This window comes from Homo sapiens, chromosome 6, assembly GCF_000001405.40.
Source record: "Homo sapiens chromosome 6, GRCh38.p14 Primary Assembly".
Classification (NCBI taxonomy): domain Eukaryota; kingdom Metazoa; phylum Chordata; class Mammalia; order Primates; family Hominidae; genus Homo; species Homo sapiens.
Genome location: NC_000006.12, coordinates 39,959,167 through 39,984,278, shown reverse-complemented (window position 1 = coordinate 39,984,278; position 25,112 = coordinate 39,959,167). Strand labels below are relative to the sequence as shown.

The 25,112-nt window shown below is 41.3% G+C and overlaps 1 long non-coding RNA gene across 1 annotated transcript in view; it reads right to left on the bottom strand.

Annotated features, from left to right (window-relative positions):
* Positions 1–3,937: 3,937 nt before the first annotated feature.
* The window catches only part of LOC102723789 (uncharacterized), a 45,773-nt gene continuing 24,598 nt past the window's right edge, over positions 3,938–25,112 (bottom strand). The window contains exons 4-6 of the long non-coding RNA XR_001744112.1: positions 20,720–20,769; positions 9,503–9,559; positions 3,938–4,187 (exon numbers count right to left, since the gene is read on the bottom strand). This is a non-coding gene — a long non-coding RNA (uncharacterized LOC102723789). The remainder of the gene's footprint in view (positions 4,188–9,502; positions 9,560–20,719; positions 20,770–25,112) is intronic.

Sequence of the window (25,112 nt, the reverse complement as noted above, 5' to 3'; positions counted from 1 at the left end):
CCCAAGGCTAGCATCTGTAGGAACCTGGTAATCCCTTGAATCATAAGAGGAAATAGGGTTATCTTAGCTCATCAGAGCTAGAACTGAGGAATAGGGGCTGCTGAACAGATCTATGCTTATTCAAGTTCAGAGCCACTGCCAGAAATGTGGCCCAAAGCAGGAAGGAAGCTGGAAGAAATAGTTCATCTTCTTTTCCCACCTGTCAATCTCCTATCAGTGTCTCTTACTGGCTGAACCTGTTGAGAGAAAAGCCAGCTAGGAAGGGGGTTCCAGGATGCACTTCGCAGGCACCAGCTTCCTGGGCAGAGAGGTGCAGGAAATGATCTGAGAAAGATGAGGAGTGGGGCTAGGGCTAGGGGAGTAAGCAGACTCAACACAGTGAGACTGTCCCTAGCTTAGGTTGAGCAAAATAAGAAAATTACAGTGACTTTTGGCCTTTAATTTATCTAGGATTTTAATTTCCCCAAGGGAAGGGAGATTTTATTTTCTCCATGGCAACAAATAAAGGGTTCATTACTGGAGCTTAAATATCTGAGAGAATTTAATAAAGGGAGAAGATTCATATGGTTTGTTTGGGACATTTTTCACACTGAGTATTCTATGTGTGCTACTTTAGGTACCCACTGTTCTAGTGAACCAGGTTTATCCATGGCAGGCAACAATTTGAGTTAAGAAATAAAATTGAGGGGTCAATATCTGACTATGAGCTTGGGCCAAATGTGTTGGTTTATCCATTTCAGAAGCTTCTAGACTAGAGCCAACAGAAGAACTGCCCATTTCTCTGGGCTCAGGAATTTATAAAAGTCAGTGGTACTAGGAAGCAGCCTTAAGTGTTTACCTTGAAGGGAGGAACTTGCCCAAGTGAAGGAGCAGGTCTCATTCCTGGTTGACTATAGCCTTGAGTGAGGACAATAAACCTGAGCTCACAGTTCTGATAAAACACAAAGCAAGTAAATGTTGATGAGGAAACACTTCCACCACTCCCACCAACCAACCCTCTCCATCTTAATTTCTACTCAACACACAAGGAAGACCTGTTGCATCTAAAGATATTGCTGAGATGTTGGTTGGGTCTCATTTACTAGTTGATGAAGGACTAGGCCTATAAGAGGGTCCTGATTCAGCGCACTCATTCTGTCAACTGGAATGAGAGCTCTAGGAAGTTTTTCATGATCTTTATTATTTGAGTGTCTTCATCAAATTCCTTCCTGCTTGCAGTTTGAAGCTCAGCTCTCTTTAGCTAAGTATCTTGGTTTCTAATCCATGGCCTTTGAGTGTGGAGGGTAGGTAGCAATCTGTGCCAAAACCTCAAACCCCAGCCTTGTGTTTAATTCAGAGCTCTGTATTGAAGGTTACATGTCACTGACTGCTGTGGTTTGAATATATCCCTCAAAGTTCATGTGTTGGAAACTTAATCACCAATGCAACAGTGTTGGGAGGTGGGGTATAAACAGAGGTGACTAGGTCCTCAGGGCTTTTCCCTCATGAATAAACTAATTCCATTATCAGAGTGAGTTTCTGATAAAATGATGAGTTCTGCCCTCTTCTCTTCCTCTCTTTCCATGTGATGCCTTCTGGCATGGTATGTAACAAGGAGACCCTCATCAAATGCAAACCCTCAATCTTGGACTTCCCAGCCTCTAGAACTATAAGAAATGAGTTTCTTTTCCTAGTTACCTAATCCATAGTATTCTTTTATGGCAATACAAAATGGACTAAGACACTGATCTGTCAAGTAATAAAGAGACACTTTGAGTTCTGACTTCATTTTTTATAAATGTCTCTTTGGGGAGCAGAAGACTAGACATCCACTATTCTTTACCCAGTGAAAAGAAAAACTTTTTCTTTTGGTAAGAGCACTTTCCTTTTGAAAAACTCTATTCTGACTTTAATCATGCAGTTTGAGTGAGATTGTCAATCACACTCTATAGGGTGGGCAAGTGGCCCAAGATAAGCCAATCAGAGCAACAGTAATGATTGGCCCTGCTTTGAGCATATGCTCATCTTTTGCCAGTGTCAGTCCTTGTTAAACTGAATTCTGGTTGTAAAGAGCCTTTACCTTTCCTGTAGTGAAGTTGGTAAGAGATGAGCATAAAGCAGCCAGGACCCCATCTCCCACCAGAGAGAGTCAGTCTTTCACAAGAAAGAAAGAATTTGACATTCAAAGCAATAGAAAAATCGGTGAGAATGTTCCAGAAAATATAACTGTCACTCATCCAGTCTTTCCCAGCTGTACCCATGCCCTCCCTGAGGCCAAAAACATTTCCTTTTTGTCTAGGGTAGACTTAATTGGATTTCTGTCACAAGCAACAGAGTCCTGACTGATTTAGTAGAGAAGATGTGTGGTGGTTCTGGGTCCCTGGCCATCATACAACCTCTGACCTAAATCCTTCACAGTACAGATTAGGTAAAGGAATGCCACAAAGTCAACGGTGATCAAATCTCCATAAATAGGTCAGGTGATGCTTCCCAAAGAAGCAATACCTATTAAAGGCATAGGTTTTCAGAACCCAAAAAGCATCATGGGAGAATTTAAGGAGCTTCAAGTAACAGACTAGTAAAAGTAAGGAAATTCTGCAGCAGGAAAATGTCTCACAAGCCATGTTACGGCATTTCAACTTTATCTCACAGGCGATGGGGAGCCACAGGGTTTACCGTCTAAGACCCTTAACCTCTCTATTCCATCAAAACAACTAATAGGTCTTAGACTGGCACTTCTTGTTTTCAGTGGTAGAAGTAGAGATTAGAAGTTAAAAATAACTGGAAGCAGAATCTGAGCTCATTGCCTTGTCCTTAGAAGTCTGAGGCAAGGGAGGATGGGACAGTGCTATTCCTTGGTGATCTTGAACCAAGTTACTGCCTCCCTGACCACCAACCCTACCCCTTACTCCCCACCCCCATCTTCTTATCTGTGACAGTGGCATTTCCCATTCAGCCCTTAAAAAAAAAAAAAAAAAAAAAAAAAAATTGGTTCATTGAGAAACCTTTGCTGACTCATGTACTAACCAACACTTCCACCTAGTGGGAACCTTTGGAAATCATCTCACAGGATCAACACCCCTCTTCCCCGCCACCCACTGCACAGCTTCTATAAAAGACAGAAATGTCCCATTCTCTGCTTGGTCTCTCAGTGACTGTCTCTTTGACCCCAGTCTTCCACTGCCATGCACATGAACATAGTTCCCTACATGGGAATAAGGCTTTGTAACCTGCAAGCAGTGCTCACATATCAGCCTCTGTGGCCTTCATCTAAAACAGTACATCCGTGCTTCCTGGCTCTGTTCGTCATCTTGGTATAAACATAGGATGGCAATAGTGTCCAAACATGGCATTCCTCTGGATCTTTCACTGTCTATTTTGAGTGGCCTTCAGCCCCCTCATATTCCTCCCTAGTGATTTTAGAAATTGTCAGTGCCAGTTGACAACTCCAGTCATCTGGGTGACTGTAATGTATGCCATGTTTATTTTTTTATCAACTATATGTTCACTCACTGGAATGATGTGTTCTTTTGGCATTCATCTCTAAATATTACAGCTCCTTGCTTAATGAGATACCAAAGCCCATGTAAGATACTGGGGACATTGTTATCTATGCTGAAAAGGCCACCATCACCAGATGTCCTCTAGTGTCTGAGCTACTAGTGTCATTGTCAAGGGTATTGGCTATTACCATTACCAGGACATCATCCCCACCCCCTGCCCCTACCGTCTCCCCTCACTATCAGCAGTTGTCATCAACTGGCTCTCTTACATATTCAATGTTCTATGAAGACAAAAGTTTTCTGCTCTACAGTCCAAAGGCTGATGAAATATTTCTATTGGAGAAAATCATCCCTACTTCTAATTCTACTTATTTCTATACCCCAACTTCTATCCACTTTTTTCAAACCTAGGGTCAGAAGAACAATATTTCTATTGCAACTTTGGATGAAGTTCCACCAAAGTGAGTTGTGCTTCTTCTCTTTTCCAGTGCTTAATTCTGAGACATGGCCAGGTTTGAGGCTGGGTAGGAGAAAAACAACTAGAGAGCCAAGTCTCACTGCTTTGTTCCTCACTTTGAGAAAAGGGCAGATGATTCAGGATCCTCTGATCTGGACTCCAGGCATCATTCTTGATGGATTTCTAGACCCAGGAATTGCCTTGGACATCATCCACTTGCTGTATGCTATGTTCAGCCTGGAACAGAACTGAGGGAGGAGGATGGGAGGGGAAGGAAGAGTGGGCAGAAGGGAGAAAGAGATAGAAACAAAAAGAATACAGTGAAAACTCCATGAAAAAGTAGAAAGTGTCCATATTTTTCAGGTCACTTGGTGGACATGACTTCCTGTCTTTCGTGTAATATGGAATCAAAATTATTGAAATAGACTGATTTGGTCTCCTTTTAATTGTCAGGAGTGAAAGAGTAAAGGGATGTGTTTGTTTTGCTTTGGGTCTATTTTTGGTCATGAATTTTGCAAGATTGCCAAAGATTATGTTTATTCTCTTGTTGGCTGAAGATTTCACCCTGTTTTTCTGAGAGGCTGGGCTTGTCTTTTCCACCCATCTCCTGGGAAAGAACGTAAAAAAAGAGGGAGTTGAATGGCTTCTGCAGAGGCAAGACTTGAGCTGGCCTGAGAGGAGGCAATGGCTCGGGTCCACAGAGAAGAAGGCCTGGATTTCAGTTCTCTACTTGCATCATGGTGCCTGTGTTAAACATTGCTAAGTTGCAGACTTCATGCACCCAGCACAGGCCCTAGCACAGAGTAGGCATGCAATAAGAGCTTGCTGAGTAGAACTGAACAGAGAATGTCAAGGTTATGGGGAGATACCTAGAGGGTTAATCTGGATCTTCTATGCAAAACTCTAGGAACAATGAAGGAGGAAGCTATTTAGTAGTTGAAAAGAAATAGCAGAAACTGGAAAGTGCAAATTCAAAAATAAGTCCTGCAGAGACATTTAGAATAAGTCTAAAATCTTAGTATCAGAAATTGAGAATTTGAGGAAATCTAGTTGAACCTGCTATTATAACCAATAAAGTGGCCGCATCTTGATCCTGCCACCAGTTTTTGGGCAACATCAGGCAAGGTTTTCTATCTCCCTCAGGTGGCCTGATTTGCATTGCCCAGGATCCTGTAAGAGGAAGGGAGGTGTCCCCTGTGGCAATGAATGGAGGGGAAGCATTGACTGTGACAGGAACAGGGCATAAGAATAACATGTTCTCATTGCAGCATTTGGGAAATACAAGGAACCAGAATAAAACTGTGTCCCCAGAGTCTGGTGGAAATAGGGTTTCTTCATTTACCAATGGACTAATACTTTTTTGAGACAAGGTCTTACTCTGTTGCCCAGGCTGGAGTGCAATGGCATGATTGCAGCTCACTGAAGCCTGACCTCCATGGCTTAAGTGATCCTCCACCTCAGCTTCCCTAGTAGCTGGGACCATAGGCATGCACCACCATGCCTAATTTTTTCGTTTGCAGAGACGGGGTCTTGCAATGTTGCCCAGGCAGCTCTCAAATTCCTGGGCTCAAGCAATCTACCTGCCTCAGCCTCCCAAAGTACTGGGATTATGAGCATGAGCCACAGCACCCAGCTTACCAATGAATTATTGAGTGGTATGTGCCAAACTCAATACTGACCACAGAAGATAGATAGATGAGGAAAATGTAGTCACCATTCTGAGAAAATTCATAATCACTCAATTGACTCATACTTCTTTTCTCTAGAATATCCAACTCCAGCCTCCCTTTTACTACAAGTTCCTGTCTCCCATTCCTTCTGCTACACCCACTCATTGATTCCTTGACCCACCCCTACCACCACCCATCTCCCAGCTCCCAGCTTACTCAGCCTCCTTACCTCCCTACCTTCATATTTTCCTATGAATCCATGGCCAGCTATATTCTTAACAACTTCCTCATATCCCCGATGCCCTTGATCTTTCCACCTTGTCAAGTCCCAGTTTAAATGCAACCCATGCTTTTCATCCATTCCTTAAATATTCTTTAAATACCTGCCATGGGCCCCAGCCACTCTTCTAGATGCTAAGGATACATTAGTGAGGAATAAAATTCCTTCTGGGGCCTGTGTAGAAAATTTTCATATAAACAATAAATATATAGTAAAAAAATGCAATAAAATGTCATAAAAGCTATGAAAACAAAGCAGAGTAATAAGAGGGGTCAGGGAAGAACTCTTTGACCTGAATGAAGTAAAAGAGTGAGCCAGGAGAATATCTTGAATAAGAAAACTCCAAGGGCCAGGCGGCCTGTAATCCCAGCACTCTGGGAAGCCGAGTCGGGCAGATCACGAGGTCAGGAGATCGAGACCATCCTGGCTAACACAGGGAAACCCCATCCCTACTAAAAATACAAAAAAATAGCCGGGCGTGGTGGTGGGTGCCTGTAGTCCCAGCTACTCGGGAGGCTGAGGCAGGAGAATGGCATGAACCCAGGAGGCGGAGCTTGCAGTGAGCTGAGCTCACGCCACTGCACTCCAGCCTGGGTGACAGAGAGAGACTCCATCTCAAAACAACTCCAGGAGGAGAAGCCCTGAGGTAGGAAGACAGTGTGGCTGTGTGAACTAACCGAGAGGAGGAGTGGTAGGAAGTGGAAAGCTGGGAATGGGTGCACATAGGGCCTCATGAGCTGTATTTGAATTCTAAGTGTAATGGGAAGCCATTGGAGAGGGAATATTTCAGCAGGAGTGATGTGATCACTAGAGAAAAGAGCCTCCAATGCAGGTGCTGTTGCAGAAATCCTGGGGAGAAGTGGGGGTTCATGCGAGGAGGGTGGCAGTGATGAGAAGGGCTCAGGTGCAGGACACGGACTGTAGGTAGAACCCACAGAATCTGTGAAAGAACCGGGCATGAGTTACAGGGAATCATGAGACAAATCCAGAGTGACTCCAAAGTGAAGAGTGTTGCCATCTTAAGAGATGGGGGATTAAAGGAGTAGGTTGGCAGAGTGACAAGGAAATTAGAAGTTGTTTCCTAGACACATTTGAGATGTCTCTTAGACAGTCAAGTAAGCTATTAAGTAGGCAGTTTAACATACAATATAAACATGGGGTGGCCAGGTGCAGTGGCTCACGCCTGTAATCCCAGCAGTTTGAGAGGCTAACACGGGTGGATCACCTGAGGTCAGGAGTTCAAGGCCAGCCTGGCCAACATGGTGAAACCCCGTCTCTACTAAAAATACAAAAAATTAGCTGGGCATGATGGCGGGCGCCTATAATCCCAGCTACTCAGGAGGCTGAGGCAGGAGAATCGCTTCAACCCAGGAGGCAGAGGTTGCAGTGAGCAACTCCAGCTACACTCCAGCCTGGGCAACAAAAGCGAAGCTCCATCTCAACAAAAAGAAAAAAAAAATGGCGTCATCAGATTACCAATAATGTCTGAAGCCACAGTGCCACATGAGATTTTCTAAGGAGTGGGCATAAATAAGAGGTATAAGAATGGAGCCCTGGGGACATCTTGATGTTTAGAGTCCAGAGGGGTAGGAAAACCAGCAAGGATGTTGACAAAGTCACCAAAAGAATAGAAGGAAACCTCGATGAACCAACGTCCTGGAGGTGAAGGAAGCATGTCAGAAGGAGCCCTTTGACTGTCTCCATGTGCCTGGCTGTCACTAAGATGGCCCAGGGAGCCGGGGAGCGTGCTTACCCTGCATATCCATACTTTCCATCCCAAGAGGGTCTTGGGGCTGCTGGGTCCTCCACTCAGCCTTTACGGGGTAGTTTCCTTGACCAGGTCCCACAGTATTTCTTTTGCTTTCCCCATTCCTGACCCCTTCACATCCTACAAACAGCTTTTCCTTTATTAGAAAATGAGAGAACTTCCTTTCCTTCACATCAGAATGACTTCCATTCTCTTTTTCTGTCAGAGGAGCAGAGATGGAGCTCTGCTTTCCTTCTCTGGGCAGAGTCCCACATTTGCCACCTGGATTCTCAGTATCCCAGACTCCCTGTGGCCAAAAACCTGCACAGATCACCAACTACTCATCCTGCCCTCAATGGGCTGCCTAGTCCTGGCCTTGGAAACAGAAAGACTGGTTCATCTCTAATGGGAACAGGCTCCTAGCCTCCTCACTTTTAATTTGCCTTCCACCTTATCAAACTCAGATCTGGTGTTCATAGTGTTTCCCTGTTCATAGACTTCAGAGGATTATTCTGGAGAAAGTCCACATTTATGGCAGGGCATTTAAGTAAGACCCACTGCAGTCTGACTCCTCAGTCCTCCAACTTGTCTCCTGCTCTACACCAGTGCTCCACTATGTATGGGGAACATAACCCTCCCCAAAATACTGTGTACATTCTTGGCCACAGGCCAAACTTAATCCCTATGCCTGGATTTCACCGTGAAGGCTTCAACATGTCAGCTCAAATGCTATCGCCTTTGAGGTTTTCTAGACCATCTCCTCCCTGCCCCAGTTCCTCTACCAATCAGAATTCATTGCTGTCTCCTCTGTCTACATAGACTCTCTTCCTCTATTGTTGTGCCAGTCATTACAGTGCCCTTGCCTGTCACTCACACTAGACTCACAGCTAGTTCACTAGTGGTCATGTTCACTTCTGCTTACCCCACAGGGCCTTACCCTTATAAGGGGCTCAAAACTGGAATTGGGTTTAAGCTGGGCTGGGGGTTGGCTGCCAGTTGCAGGAGGGATTTTACAACTAAGGAAATGCTTCGAGCCGGAGCCTTAGGTACAGATGGGTCTGGAATGTTTGGTAAATAAAGGGCAGGCCAGTGTGGCTGGAACTGATGGTTCTGATGATGCTAGGAAGACTAAGTTGTTGGGGTCAAGGATTTCAAAGGACACTGGTGGACAGGCTTAAGGGTCTGGACCTCATCCTTTAGGCAGTACCCTGTGTTTTCCCAAGTTCTGTCTATTTCAGATGTCTATTTTTCTGTCAGACCATTCACTGCAAGTATCTTTCCAGAAATCATGGTTCTGTGGCAAAGTGATTCTGAGTAGGGTTGTGACATGGAGAAAGGCGTGATTGGGGAAGCATGTATGCCACCATGAGTTGTGGAGGGGGATGACATTGGATGTTTGGCAGGGAGGCAGTTAGTGCAATGGAGGTGACAGAAGAGGGCCAGGACCAAGACACTCCAGTGGGGACAGGAAGAAAGCAGCCCTGGGAAATCCTGCACTTCACAGGAAGAGGGAAGCATCAGATCCACCCCTTGGGCAGACAAATGAGAGGTCTAAGAGCCTTGAAGGGAAACGAGTTGCCTAAGCTCCAGGATTAAAACTCATTTCATAGCTCCTGGTCCAGTGCTCCTTTCCCCTCCTGTGAGTGGAATGAGAGGCTATCAGTGAGAATGGGGCTCAGGAGATCCCACTTGAGCCCCCAAGAACTGTTTTCACAGTTCTTAGTGATACGTGCAAATTTAGTGCTAAAATAACCCTGGGCCACATATACATACTAGCTTTGCCTCTAGCATCCCAATAAACAGGGGTTGACTGGCACATTCTCTCTGAGGCCTGCCTTTTCTGAGCTGACTCTTCTGGGTACGCACCTCTCCTTTGCCATCACAGGTGGCCTGCTCTGCTCCAGACTCCGGGCTCACTGGGTCCTGGAAAAGGGGCAGCCAGGGTGACTTTTGAATACAGTGAATTTTCCCCATTACACAATTGCATATTCTCATCATTGTAAATCCAGAGAATAAAGACAATTTGTACCGAAACAAATGACCCACGACCACAAAGGGCATCAGCACTTTTCTAAGCACAGAGCCTCACCTGGCGAGAATCCACAGCCACATGCACCTGGCCTGGATCTGCTTTCCTGTGGCTCTCCTGGGGCTTCTCCTCCCAGGAAATCCTGCTCTGGTTCTACAACCTGCTCTGGCCTGCTCATATTTCTACCACTAACTACCACAAAAAACAAAATGCAACTCTTTCTCCAAAATATGTAGTTATGGGGTTTTAAACATGAAGGAGTTTAAAACTGAGGCAGTTTTAATAGAAGTCAAAGAGGAACAGAATGGAAAAACAGAGTGGAACAAGAGGAATGGAAATATTAAGATAATCACTAAGAATACATCTTCAAAAGAGCTCATCAAGTATTGAACTTCTAAGATGACATGCACTTAGATATATACTGGTGACATTTCTGTACCTCAAAGATAAAGAGAATTTTAAAAGCTTTCAGAGATGCAAAATTTTTTCCACAAAGGAACAAGAATCAAAAAGACATAAGACCTCATCCAATTCTGGAAGCTAAATGACAGTGGAAAAATGCCCTCAAAAATCTGAGAGAAATGGCTATAGAATCCCTGGGACAAAAATATCAAATCAAGTATAAGGAAGTATAAAGATGATGTGGTAGGGTAGGTCCTTTGAGAAACATTACAAGACAGGGTTATGTGTGCAAGAAATTTATTAGAGCAAACACCTGTAAAGATACGAGGCCAGGATAGGCTCAGCAAGCTGTCAGTCAGCAATAATGATCTGACCCCCTATAAAGGAGAGAGTGAAGGAAGACAGGGCGGGTGGGCATATTTAGACTGCACTGCAGTCTTAGAGTTAGAAAAGTCTGCAGGGAGTCCTCAAGCCCCCGGGGAGTATTGTCTCCCTGCTCAGTCTTTGGCTGGGAGTAGCCTCTCAGAAGCCCCAGTGTGGACATGCTGATGGATTTCAGAGGCAGCACCAGAGTCTGTGGGTCAATTATACTCCCTGCAGTGGAACTTCTGAGGGACACATTCTCACAGCAGCCACAGATGTCTTCTGATTTACAAAGATTCAGAAAGTTTACAACCAACTAACCTTGTGTGTTAAAAATGAAGGATATACTTCTTCCCAAAAGAAACACATCCCAAAAGAAGAGAGAGGGAAACCTGAGAAATCACAGGCACTGAGTTCACCCTAGAACAGCAAAGGAAGCTGGAAAATTATGAAAGAAAGCCTATGTAACCTCAATGCCTGGTGCAGTGCCCTTCAGGTGGCACAGGCTATAAAGCATCACACTTCCTTCCACTAAGGGTTCAATCACCCCACTTGGAATTCACTACAAATAAAAGCCAAATAATCATAATCATAAATAGTTTTTGTTTCTTACAGAATTAATCTGTAGAAAAGCACAGTAGTCATTTTAGTAGAAGGGTACCACAACAACAAAAATATCCTTTTCACTTCGTTAAAGTTTAATACAGTGAGTCAGATGGGGGAAGGGGAGAAGGAAAGTGGAAAGAAGTAGCAGCTCACTAATTTTCTCACCTTTCATGACATAGGTATGTCTAAATGTGAGCAGGTGGGAATACAATTCAAGTTGAGATTTGGGTGGGGACACAGCCAAACCATATCATTCTGCCCCTGGCCCCTCCAAATTTCATGTCCTCACATTTCAAAACCAATCATGATTTCCCAACAGTTCCCCAAAGTCTTAACTCATTTCAGCATTAACCCAAAAGTCCGTAGTCCAAAGTCTCATCTGAGACAAGGCAAGTCCCTTCTGCCTATAAGCCTGTAAAATCAAAAGCAAGCTAGTTACTTCCTAGACACAATGGGGGTACAGGTATTGGGTAAATACAGCTGTTCCAAATGGGAGAAATTGGCCAAAACAAAGGGGTTACAGGGCCCATGAAAGTCTGAAATCCAGCAGGGCAGTCAAATTTTAGAGCTCCAAAATGATCTCCTTTGACTCCAGGTCTCACATTCAGATCACACTGATGCAGGAGGGTGGGTTCCCATGGTCTTAGACAGCTATGCCCCTGTGGCTTTGCACAGTATAGCCTCCCTCCTTGCTGCTTTCATGGGCTGGTGTTGAGTGTCTGTGGCTTTCCCAGGTGCACGGTGCAAGCTGTAGGTGGATCTACCATTCTGGGGTCTGGAGGATGGTGGCCCTCTTCTCACAGCTCCACTAGGCAGTGCCCCAGTAGGGACTCCATGTGGGAGCTCCAATCCCACATTTCCTTTCTGCACTCCCCTAGCAGAGGTTCTCCGTGAGATCCCTGGCCCTGCAGCAAACTTCTGCCTGGGCACCCAGGTGTTTCCATACAACTTCTGAAATCTAGGAGGAGGTTCCCAAACTCCAATTCCTCATTTCTGTGCACCTGCAGGCTCAACATCACATGGAAGCCGCCAAGGCTTGGGGATTGCACCCTCTGAAGTCATGGCCCAAGCTCTACATTGGCCCCTTTCAGCCACAGCTGGAGTGGCTGGGATACAGGGCACCAAGTCCCTAGACTGCACATAACACGAGAACCCTGGACCTGCCCACAATACCATCTTTCCTCCTAGACCTCCAGGTCTGTGAATGGGAGAGTCTGCAGCAAAGGTCTCTGACATGCCCTGGAGATAGTTTCCCCATTGTCTTGGGGATTAACATTAGGCTCCTCATTACTTGTGCAAATATCTGAAGCTAGCTTGAATTTCTCCTCAGAAAATGAGATTTTGTTTTCTTTCAAACTGTCAGGCTGAAAACTTTCCAAATTTTGATGCCATTTCCCTTTTAAAACTGAATGCCTTTAACAGCACCCAAATCACCTTTTGAATGTTTTGCTGCTTAGAAATTTCTTCTACCAGATACCCTAAATCATCTCTCTCAAGCTCAACATTCCACAAATCTGTAGGGCAGGGGCAAAATGCCGCCAGTCTCTTTACTAAAACATAACAAGAGTCACCTTTGCTCCAGTTCCCAACAAGTTCCTCATCTCCATCTGAGACCACCTCAGCCTGGACATCATTGTCCATATCACTATCAGGATTTTGGTCAAAGCCATTCAACAAGTCTCTAAGTTCCAAACTTTCCCATATTTTCCTGTCTTCTTCTGAGCCCTCCAAACTGTTCCAACTTCTGCCTGTTGCCCAGTTCCAAAGTTGCTTCCACATTTTCAGGTATCTTTTCAGCAGCGCCCCTCTACTGGTACCAATGTCCAGTATTAGCCCATTTCATGCTGCTGATAAAGACGTACTCGAGACGGGGAAGGAAAAGAGGTTTAATTGGAGTTACAGTTCCACATGGCTGGGGAAGCCTCAGAATCATGGCAGGAGGTGAAAGGCACTTCTTACATGGCAGCAGCAAGAGAAAATGAGGAACATGCAAAAGCGGAAACCCTTGATAAAACCATCAGATCTCATGAGACTTAGTGACTACCATGAGAAGAGTATGGGGAAAACTGCCTCCATGATTCAAATCATCTCCCACCAGGTCCCTCCCACAACATGTGGGAATTATGGGAGTATAATTCAAGATGGGATTTGGGTGGAGACACAGAGCCAAACCATATCAGTGTGATTTAAATAGATGTTTATGAGTAATTTTATCTGCCTCTGAATTGTTTGTTCTTAGCCAGTTTGCTTCTGATTCCCTGCCATTAATTCTTGGAATATGTATACAGAGGACAGTCACATAAAGAACCTTCTGGCCTGTTTTTATCTAATGCTGGTAGCAGAATCCTAAAAGATAATCACAGATTAAAGCCAAAACTCATTCCCAGATATAAGCACCAAGTGTCATTCTAGAAAACAAAGAAACTTTAGATTATGAAGTTTTATCTATTTTGATTGCTTTGTCTGAAGGAGAGCCATGACCAAATGATATAGAGTGGATACTGCTGTCAATCATCCAAGGGCATAAAAGGAAGAGAAGGGGATGAACCAACACTGAATGCTATTCTTTTAGAGTAGTTGTATTGGGTTGTCTACGTATTGGGTAGGTCAGCCATGCAAGCAAATATATGAAGGCTTAGGATCAAAACCTGAGCTGTTAATAAAAAATGCATCTATTTGAGGGGAGAAAAAAAGGGGATAGAAGGAAGGTAGGGGCTCTCAGGACTGAGAAGGGGATGGTTTGGCTAGAACCTAGAGGAGACCTCTTGTGAATGCACACAGACTTCAGATTCTAGAAGCAATGATATACAGTATCCAATATCAATTTTTTTCCTTTCTGCTTTGTGACCATCTTCTATTACTCTAAAGCTTTCAGGAAGATACACCATAGCCTAAGTCTAATTGTAAGAAGGAAAGATGCAGTGGCCAGACTTGGCCAAAACGAGTGTGATAAGAGTAGCAACAGCCAGTAGAAGCAATGTGTAGATAGCAGAAAATGCCTTAAAGAATTTTGGACCTGCATCATTTGTATAGGGATTCTGTGAAATTTTGTGAAGAGCAGATAACTTGATTAGAAGAATGGACTTCCCATGGCCAATTGGAAAGGTTTTATACCCCTATCTCTAAAAGGGAAGGCTGGCTATTTATGAGTGGAGAAATCACGGATATTGGGATTAAAGATTTTTTCCGCAAGTAACCATTAATTTTTGCATGTAATCTTTAGCTTCTCTTGAGTTTTTAATGAGGACAGTTATAACATATACAATTAGTGAAAGCTTTGCTTTTATCTTTCCAATGTTATTACTTTTATTTATTTTTTATTGTACTGCCTAGGATTGCCAGTTCAGGGTTAAATAGTAATGGTGGTAATGGGCATCCTTATCTTGTTCCTGATTTTAAAAGAATACTCATTATGAAGTACGTTACTTCCTATGGGTTTTTGGAAGGTACACTTTGTTGGATTAAGCAGTTGCCTTGTATTCCTTGTTAGCTGAGAATTTCATAGAATGGCATCCATTGAGAAATATCATTTATCTCCTTTAATCTGTTTGTATAGTTCTCTATTCTGTTCCATTGATCTCTGCCAATATCACAGACTTGATTACTATTGCTATATAAGGTCTTAAAGTTGGATAGACATATTCCTTCCATTTCATTTTTTTATAAAATCGAATCATTCCAATTACTTCGCCTTCCTGTCTAAATTTTGGAACAACTTTGATAGAAATTCGTTTAAACCTGGGGGAATTTATATATTAACTATTGATATCTTCTAATGCATGAACAGTGTATCGCAATTCATTTCTTTGATTTATTTAATCAGTGTTTGTTTTCAGCATACAAATCCTGTATATGGTTTGTTGGATACTATTTCATTACCTTCTGAGAATGTCTTGATTTACCCTTCATTCTTGAAGAATATATTGGTTGAATGTAGAATTCTTGGCTGACAATTATTTTCTTTCCTACTTGAAAAATATTATGCCAGACAGTTCTTTTCTTTCATACTTGAAACATGTGCCATTTCCTTCTGGCCTCCAGAGCTTCTCATGGGAAGTCATTGCCATTGAAGTTGGTTTTCTCATATAGTTAACGTATCATTTCTCTTGCTGTTTTCAAGAGTTTTTTTTTTTCTCTCTCTCTCTCCTTCTATAGTTTTCACAAGTTAGAGTATATATGACTTGGTGTTGATTTCTTTGGGTTTACCCTGTTTGGAGTTTTCTTAGCTGCTTGAATGTGTAGTTTTATGTCTTTTGCCAAATTTGAGGATTGTGTAGCCGCTATTTCTTCAAGAACATTTTCAGACTCACCTTCCTTCTCCTCTCTATTTGGGACACCAGTGATATAAATGTTAGATTTTTTTAATATACTTCCACAAATCCCTGAGGTTCTGTTAATTATTTTTGGTCTACTTTCTGTCTGTTCACACTGCATAATTTCTATCTTAAAGTTCACTGATTATTTCTTCAATTTTGCAAGAAATAATTCAGACTTCAGATTCTAGAGGCAATGATATTCAGTATCATCCTTTAAGGGTTTTTTTTCTGACTACAAAGACCCAGAGGAGAGAGTTTTTAAAAACTATTTAACTAATTGTATTTTTACTTCTAAAATTGTCACTTGATTCTTGTATCTTCTATGTCTTTGAGACTTTTTTTATTCATTTCAAATATGGTCATAATTGCACCTTGATTTTTTTTTTCTTTTTTTTTTTATTTTATTTTATTTTTTATTTTGAGACAGAGTCTTGCTCTGTTGCCCAGGTTGGAGTGCAGTGGCGTGATCTCAGCTCACTGCAACCTCCGCCTCCTAGGTTCAAGCAATTCTCCTGCCTCGGCCTCCTGAGTAGCTGGGATTACAGGTGCACGCCACCATGCCCCGCTAATTTTTGTATTTTTAGTAGAGATGGGGATTCACCATGTTGGTCAGGCTGGTCTTGAACTCCTGACCTCAGGTGATCCACCCATCTCGGCCCCCCAAAGTGCTGGGATTACAGGCCACCATGCCCAGCCTTTTCTATTTTTTTATTGTACTAAAATACCCATAATGTAAAATTTCTCATCTTAATCATTAAGTGTATAGTTCAGTGGTATTAAGTACATCCATATTGTTACACAACTCATCACTATCCATCTCTTTTCAAACTCAAACTGTCTATCCCTATTAAACAATAATGTCCCATCCTCTCTCCTCTCTCCTCCCAGCCCTTGGCAACCACCATTCTACTTTCTGTCTCCCTAGTTTTGACTATTCTACCTCATACGTGGAATCATATAGAATTTGATATTTTTGTGACTGTAGCAAAATGTCCTCAAGGTTCATCCACATTGTAGCATGTGTTAGAATTTCCTTCTCTTTGGAGGCAGAATAATATTCCATTTTATGATATACCACATTTTGCTTGTTCATCTATTGATGGACATTTGGGTTGCATCCACATTTTAGTTATTGTGAATAATGCTGCTATGAATATGGGCATACAGATATCTCTCTTAGATCCTGCTTTCAGTTTTTGGGTGAAAGTGGAATTGCTACATCATATGGTAATTATATCTTCAATTTTTTGAGGACCCACCCTACTGGCTTTCACAGTAGTAGTACCATTTATATTCCCACCAACAGCGCGTAAAGATCCCAATTTCTCCACATCCTCACCAACGCTGTTATTTTTTGTTTTTTGTTTTTTTTTGACAGTAGCCATCCTAATGGGTGTAAGGTATTATCTCATTGTGGTTTTAATTTTCATTTCCCTAATGTTTAGTGATGCCGATCATCTCTTTAGGTGCTTACTGGCCATTTGTATATCTTCTTTGGAGAAATGTCTATTCAAATCTTTTGCCTATTTTTAAAAATCTGGTTGTTTTTCATTGATTTTTATGATGACTATCTTAAACTATTTGTCAGATCATTCTAACATCTCTGTCATATTGATATGAGCATTTATTACCTCTTTTCACTCAGTTTGAGATCTTGGTGGTTGGTATGATGAGTGATTTGTGATTGAACCCTGGAAATTTGGGGTATTATGTCATGAGAGTCTGATCTTACATAAATTTTCTGTTCTAACTGGCTTCCTCTGACACTGCACTGATAGGGGAAGGGGGGTTCCACTGCCAGGTGGGGCTGGAAGTCCAGGTTTCCCACTTGGCCTTTATTAACACCTGAGAGAGAGAACTCCTTGTTACTGCTGGGCAGGGGTGCAAGTTCCAGCCCCCATCTAGGCCTCCCTGGTTGAGGGGAGGGGTAGGAGTGTCTCATGAGTGTTCTCCAAATAGCCTCCACTGACACCATAGGGGTAGAGGGTAGCCTCATTATGGCTGGCTGGTGGCGAAAGGCCCAGCCCTCTCCACAGGCTTCCTGACACCCACCCTCCAGCAGGAGGGGAGAGATGTCTTATTACTGCCAAGGGGCCATGGAAATCGAGGCTCCCATGTGGGTGCAGTGTGCCTGGTACTGCCAGGAAGGATGAATATTCTCACTTGGCCTTCTTTGATACCAGTTTTTGGAGGACAGGAGATTTTGGTGCTTCCTTACAGTCTGGCCAAGTCTCCCCACTTGGCCTCTGCTGGCCTGGGGACGACCAAAACTCTGCTTTAGCCAATGGAATGTGGGTAAATTTGATAGGAGCAGGAGACTTGAATATGTTAGCGCAGTTTTGTTTAATCTTTTTTTTTTTTTTTTGAGATGGAGTCTTGCTGTCACCCAGGCTGATGTGCAGTGGCACAATCCAGGTTCAGTGCAACCTCCGCCTCCCAGGTTCAAGTGATTCTACTGTCTCAGCCTCCCAGGTAGCTGGGATTACAGGCACGTGCCACTATGCCCAACTGTTTTTGTATTTTTTTAGTAGAGATGGGGTTTTGCCATTTTGACCAGGCTGGTCTCAAACTCCTGACCTCAGGTGTTCCGATGCCTGCATCTGCCCCCCAGAGTGCTGGGATTACAGGTGTGAGCCACCGAACCCGGCCTAGTTTAATCTGTTGCTTGCCTGCCATTCACTAAGGGAAGAACGTGCTCCAGGTTTAAGGACCTGAACACAACCTGCAACTTGGAGGCTGAAGCCCAGATTTTAGCCTATCCCAGCTGACTCATACACCCTGCAGTAAGAAATCAATGCTTGTTGTTTAAATGCTGAGTTTTGGTGGTCCTGAGGCCAGCAGAGGCCAAGTGGGAAGCCTTGGCCTTGATAGTGAAGCCCTTTTTCAGGGGGGCAGGGAACTATATCTGCCCAGTAACTTTACAGTATCTTTCCATTGTACGTAGAGGATGTGGATGTATAATCCTATTGTAGGAGAGTAAAAAAAAACTGAGTCCAATGCAAGATATTACAATTAATTGCTGATCTTATCTTTATTGTCCTCCATTTAGTTACTTTGGACCCTGTTCTTTTTCTAATTTCTTGAGTTAGATGATTAACTCATAAATTTTCAGACTTCTTTGAGTATATGAGGCTGTAAATTTCTGTAAAGGTAGCTTTAGCTGTACCGCATGAGTTTTGATACATAGATTTTCATTATTATTCAGTTGAAATGTTTCTTTATATCTCTTACAATATTGTCTTTGACCCAAAAACTACATGTTTGAAAATTTCCAAATGTATTTTTATGTTTTTGTTACTGCTTTCTAAGTTAATTATACTGTGGTCAGATAATACAATCTGTATGATATTGATTCTTTCAGTATTTGTAAGGTTGGTTTTATGTCTTAATATGTGGCTAATTTTCATAAATGTTCCATGTGTAAGAGTATATATATTTTTAATTTGTGATATAGGGTTTATTACATGTTCATTATATAATAGTCATTATGTTAACATCTGCTAAACATTTATTAATTTTTTATTTATTTGATCTGTCAATACTAGATTGTTTTGGAGTTACCTGGAGTTGACCTTTTCCTTGCACTTCTCTTTGTTTTCTATGTTCTTAGGCTGTTTCTATGTTTCCTTGTACTTCTTTTTGCTTTCTATGTTTTTAGGCTGTTTTAGGTACATAATATTTAGAAATGTCACATCTTCCTTAGGAATTGAAATTTTACAACCATGGAGAAGCTCTCCTTAAAGCAAAAAAGCATTTCTAGAGGTATTTTGAGATACCTACACCAGCTTTTTAGTTAATATTTGCCTGATATTATCTTTTTTCCATTCTTCTATGTGTGACCTTTGTGTTCTTTCATGTTTGAAGTATCTCTTAATGATGGCATAGAGCTAATCTTAAAAATATAATCCAGTTGGACAATCTGACCTTTCAAATGACTTAGCCCCTTTATATAATGATTATTGAATACTTTTATATTTCTAGAATCTTTCTGGTGCTGCCAAAAGATATACATTTTCCCCATGTTGCAATATCTTTGAAATTAAAGTGTTTCTTACAATTCATGTTGTAGTTAGCAGCTTTTTTTAACTTAGTAGCATGTAAAATTTAAGTACATTTTACAACTGATGTCATCCTAGATTTCTTAGATTCTAAGAAATACAATATTTACTCAGATTTTCTTAACTTTCTCTTCCCCTTCCACCCCTTTTATCTTTATTGACTTAAGGTTTTTCATTTCCTTTTTTCCCTTATACCTGGAATTTTCACATCCTGTCTGTATCGTTTTAGTGATTACTCTTAAAATTGTAGCAAGCATGCTTTAGTTAAATTCTAAAGGTAATCGGTGTCTTATTCAGATTCTTCTAGAAGCTGCCCTTGAGACAAGAACTTGAGTACAGGCATTTGGAAGTAAAATCAGGAAGCACAAGTGAATGAATGGGACAGTGAGATGGGGAAGAGAGAGAAGCCAATACGGGAAGCCCTCATGGGCAGGTAACTGTTGTGGATAACATGCTCAAACCCTCTGAATAAGCAAATGGAATGTGTCTGACAATTTTCCCGCCAGGGGATAAGGAGGTCAGGACATTTATCTGACTCCTCTATTGGTTGAACGTTATCCATGGGTGTTAACTTCCCTAAACTTCCAGGTTACAGGTGCTTAAGGCAGAGCACGTTTCTGTGGTTCAGGAGAAGGACATTGGGCATGGGAGAGAGACATGTGCTTCAGCAGGAGCTGTCAGCCTGTTGAAAACTGTCTACCACAGTTGCAAATGAACTTGGGTGGGCAGAAAGGATACTGGGGAAACCGGTATCAACAGTGCCTGCTACGATTAGTATATTTCTAATCTCCTCCTGCCGATTGCCAAAACCTTGAACTTTTCATTTCAATTACCAATTCTACTTCATATATTAATCAGTACATATTTTATTTCCACTATTTTGTATACCTCCTAAAACAATGATTATTTGTATTATTTCAAACAATGGTCATTTAGTTTTACCCATATGTTAATCAGTTTCCTTGCTCACCTTTCCTTCTTGAGAATCTCACTTCTTTTTTTGGGGGGTTTAATTTTTCTTCCTTTAGTTATGTTTTCCTCACCATCTGAACTTTCTGGTTCCTAGGTTTGGATAATGAATTTGGATACTGAGACTGTAAAGTATATCATGTTATGCAAGTCTATTTCGTTCCTGCATTTTAGATAGCAAATAGCAAGTGTTTTCATAGAGTGGAATTTATGTAGTTTAACTTTTTTTTTTCCAGAAACAGTCTGTTAGGGAATTTAGTCTTTGTCTTTGTGAAAATGACTTTTTTCTCAGTCCTGAATGATAGTTTGACTAGGCATAAAATTGTAGGTTCATTCTTACCTTCTCTCAGCACTTAAAAGATACAAGGTGACCTCAAAATTTCATGGAAACTGGAATTAAAAGATAAAAATAAAGCATTTTATTTCTCAACATAAACTCTATCAGTTCAAGACACTTTTGAAAGCAATGATACCAGCCATTTAGTCCATCCATAAAGAACTGAGGGTCTTGGGAATTTAACACATCAGTGCAACCTTTTTTACATTATTAGGTGAAGAAAAATGGGTGCCCTTTAAAGATTTTATAAGATGAGGAAACAAATAGTAATCAGAAGGAGCCAAATCAGAACTGTAAGGTGGATGCCTAATTTTCCATCAAATCTCATGAAATTGCCCTTGTTTAAGAGGAATAAGCAGGAGCATTGTCGTAGTGAAAGACTCTCTAGCAGTCTTCCTGAGTATTTTTCTCATAAAGCTTGGCTTTCTCAAAACACTCATAATAAACAGATGATATCATTCTTCAGCCCTCCAGAAAGTAAACAAGAAAAATGCCTTGAGCATTCCAAGAAACTTTTGCCACGATCTTTGCTCTTCACTGGTCTGCTTTTGCTTTGACTAGGCCACTTCCACCTCTTGGTAGCCATTGCTTCTGATTCCATTTCAATGTGTCTAATGTATACCTACTTTTATTTATACCATTCAGGGGTGTTGTGACCATAGAGCTAGGTAAAGAAAAGAGAGAAGCAGAGTCTACCAATACCAGACTCTTGGTAGCCACGAAAAATACGTAGTTTAGTCAAGTAGTGATGACATTAGGGAACAAAATCAGCTGAAATTTGGTTGGAGATTGTAGAATTCAGATGATTCAAATCAAGTAATAAAACTGAAAGATTACAAAAAGTATTGTGTGATGGTGTATAACTGAAACAGTAGGTACCAACCCTACCTGAAAGGTCCTTAACAATCTAGAGATTATTAAAACTGGACTCAGTACATCCATCTGTGATGCATGAAGCCACACTTGACACAGGCACTTCCAAGTCTGGTATCCCTGTGCCAAATGTCTCTATGTCTCTGTCCAGTTGCAAATCCAACTTGCCTTGGGTGATAATCACATCATGAATTGTCTCAGTAACCTAAAATAACACTGAACTTTAGTGGGTTAAGTGTCTTTTAACCCCAGGAATATAGAAATTATGAAGTGCATCAAACCCATGACATTAGTTTATGTTACAGTCAAGATAATCTGAGTGGTGGGTATATAAAATGCTGGTAAAATATAATTGAATGTGGCATATTAAAGTAAATGACAAATTGACCTGTCATTCCAAATTAAATGTGCATTGGATTTGAGGTTGGATGGTATAAGAGGAAGTGACTTAACTTATAAAGAGTGTTAGGATAGTTAAAAGAACTGTAGCTGCTTAATAATGAGGGAAGGATTCGTTTGTTAGGTCATGAGTTTGTTGAGTTTAGACTTCTAATTTCTTAAAGAAAATGGAATATATTAAATTTATAAATGTTAAAGTGCTTACAGAAAACTAGTCTGTTCAATTCAGGTTTACTTAACATTAATCAAAATCAAACTCCCTTAAGTAATCAGTCCAATTTAATAAGGCTCCCTGAAAATAATTATTTTATATAAAACTTACTGGGTTTAAAACAGTATAATACAATTTATAAGATAAATTTAGAGGTTTAGGGAAAACTGTTTACATTTACAATTTTAGTAAACAAAACTTTATTTTTAGTTATTTGGGTTTGATTTTTAATCTATGTGCACAAAACCTGCCCTTGGACTTAAAAAAATTCTCACATAGAAACTGAATCTAAGGATTCATATTCTTTACCGATGTAGTCTCTTGCTGATTCTCTCTAATCTCACCTTCTGAAATTTGTACTGAATATAAATTGAACCTTTTCACTCTATCTCTCATGCCTCTCATTTTTTAATGTTTCCTTACCCAAAATGTAGCACAGAGAAATCACTTCTTTTCCAGTTCCCAATTCTATCTTCATCTGGATCTGATTAATCTTTCCACTGGGAATTTTTCCTTAATTTCAATGGCTCTATTCTCATTTCACATCAGACACAAACCTTGTGTACTTTCTCAGAGCCAAACTGCCTCCCTTGTTCTCAAAATTCCTCCTATTTGCGATAACTCCCTGGAGTAAACAGGCGCACTGCCGCCTCTACTCGGCTTCCCAGACTGGCTGGGGGCCTGAGATTGAACGGACCTCACATCTCACATGCCATGCCTGTCTGCAACAAGTCATTCCTCCACTTATGGACATAGGATCTGGCTTTCTGAGTGACATCAAAGGATGAATAATGCAATAATTATGAGTTAGGTCTCCATGGTGTGAAATTTGAGCAATGGGAAATGAGAAACAGGAAGGAGCTGGGCAGAGAAATTCCCCCTTCTTTTCTCCCTTCTAATCAGAGGTGGTGCTTCTTTTTTAAAACTTTCCAGAAAGGTACTGTGTGCTAAGCAAATATACCTTCTATGTGACTAGCTGTGTTTCTTCATGGCTTCTCAAGAACCAGTGGCTAGTGCAGTAATGCCTCATATTACATTGCTTCACATCTTTCTTTGCCCCACTTCCCCCTTTTCTCCCTCACTTTCATGTCACTGGGCTTGTAATTTCTAAATAAAATATCTCCATCTTCATCCTTGTCTCAAGCTCTGCTTTCTAGAGAACTTAAACTAAGAGAGTCTTTAACACTTTTATTTGATTTTGATAATTTAGCCTTCTCTTATATTTAAAAAAAACTATTAATGTAACTTCCAGCCAGAGAGAGTAAAAGATGCTTAATGATATTGATTCCCTGTGGAATACTATGCAGTCATAAAAAAGAACAAGGTCATGTTCTTTGCAGAGACATGGATGGAGCTGCAGGCCATTATTCTTAGCAAACTAACACAGGAACAGAAAACCAAACGCTGCATGTTCTCACAAGTGGGAGCTAAATGATAAGAACACATGGACACATAGAGGGAAACAACACACACTGGGGCCTATCAGAGGGTGGAGTGTGGGAGGAGAGAGGGGATCAGGAAAAAATAATAGGTACTAGGCTTCATACCTGGGTGAAATAATCTGTGCAAAAAAACCCCATGACACAAGTTTACCTGTGTAACAAATCTGCCCATGTACCACTTAACTTAAAATTTTAAAAAATGCTTACAATTACTATCTTTTAAATTTGAGACTATAATCCCACTTTTAATACTGACAACTCTCACTCATGGTGAATTCTTTTCTTATGTGTTTTGTGATTGTGGATTGTGAGTTCACCTTTAGCAGGGCTGTATTGAAGGGAACTCTGAGAAACCTTAGATAAGGTTTTGTCCCTCCAGAGAGGACTTACATTCTCTTTGTTACAGATATTACCAGCTTGGGAGTTCTCAGCCACATAAGAGATCTAAATGTGAAACTCTGCCTTCAGGGAGAGCAGGTGTCTGGGGGAATCCTATCCCTTTATTCAAATACAAGTAAAAACAGACAAGCTTCCTTGATATCCCTCTTTGCTGAAGGGTTGATCTTGTTTTTAGTTGCTGCCCTTCTTCTGAAAATATAGTAGTAGTTCTTTGATAGTTTTCGGCTTCATGTGCAAAGCCTCCATCATGGTCTCTGAGGTAGACAAACCTAAGGACAGCTACAATGTGAACTGAAGAATACTTCTGGTTTTCAATTCTCTATTCATTTTTGCTCCAGGATTTATGTTATTATAAGCTCAGCTATGCATTTAGAAGATTATTTTCTGTATTTAATCATACTTTCATGGTATTTTATAATGAAAAGGTTTTTGGATTATCTAATCTGCTACAATGCTACAGCATTTCTGTAATACTAGAAATGTAAGATGGGGTCTATCTTTAACAATCAAAATGGACTGAGTTATTACTATTTCTCAAGTATGACTATTACCATATTAAATGAATTAACTCATCTTCTCAACTCTGTGAGGTGTAGGTACTACTGTCTCCACTGTGTTAATCTGGGTCCTCCAAGACAAAGGTGACAAGACCAGAATAAATGTGCAAGTATGTTCAGGGAAATGCCTTTGAAAAAGAAATGGGAGAAAGAGGGTAAAGGCTGGGAGAATCATGTCATAACCCAAGATTGACTCTGAGTGAAGGAGAAAGGGAGAAAAGGCTGGGTAGAAATGTCTTAGACTACACAGCAGTTTCGGAAATGTTCAGCAAAGCCTTTGGAGAGTCTTTGAGCCACAGTTGGTTAAGAAAGGAGTCCCGTGTCTTTCGGGAATAGATGTACCTTAGTACCCCTGCCATTTTCAGTCATTAGTGGGGAGCAGCCCGGAAGAGATGTGACCCTGGCACACATGCTATGATGGATTCCAAACTGTAGCAACTGGGACCCTTGGCTAGTTATGTGCTCTGCACTAGAAGGTCTGCCAGGTGCATTTTCATGCCACCACACCCACTCTG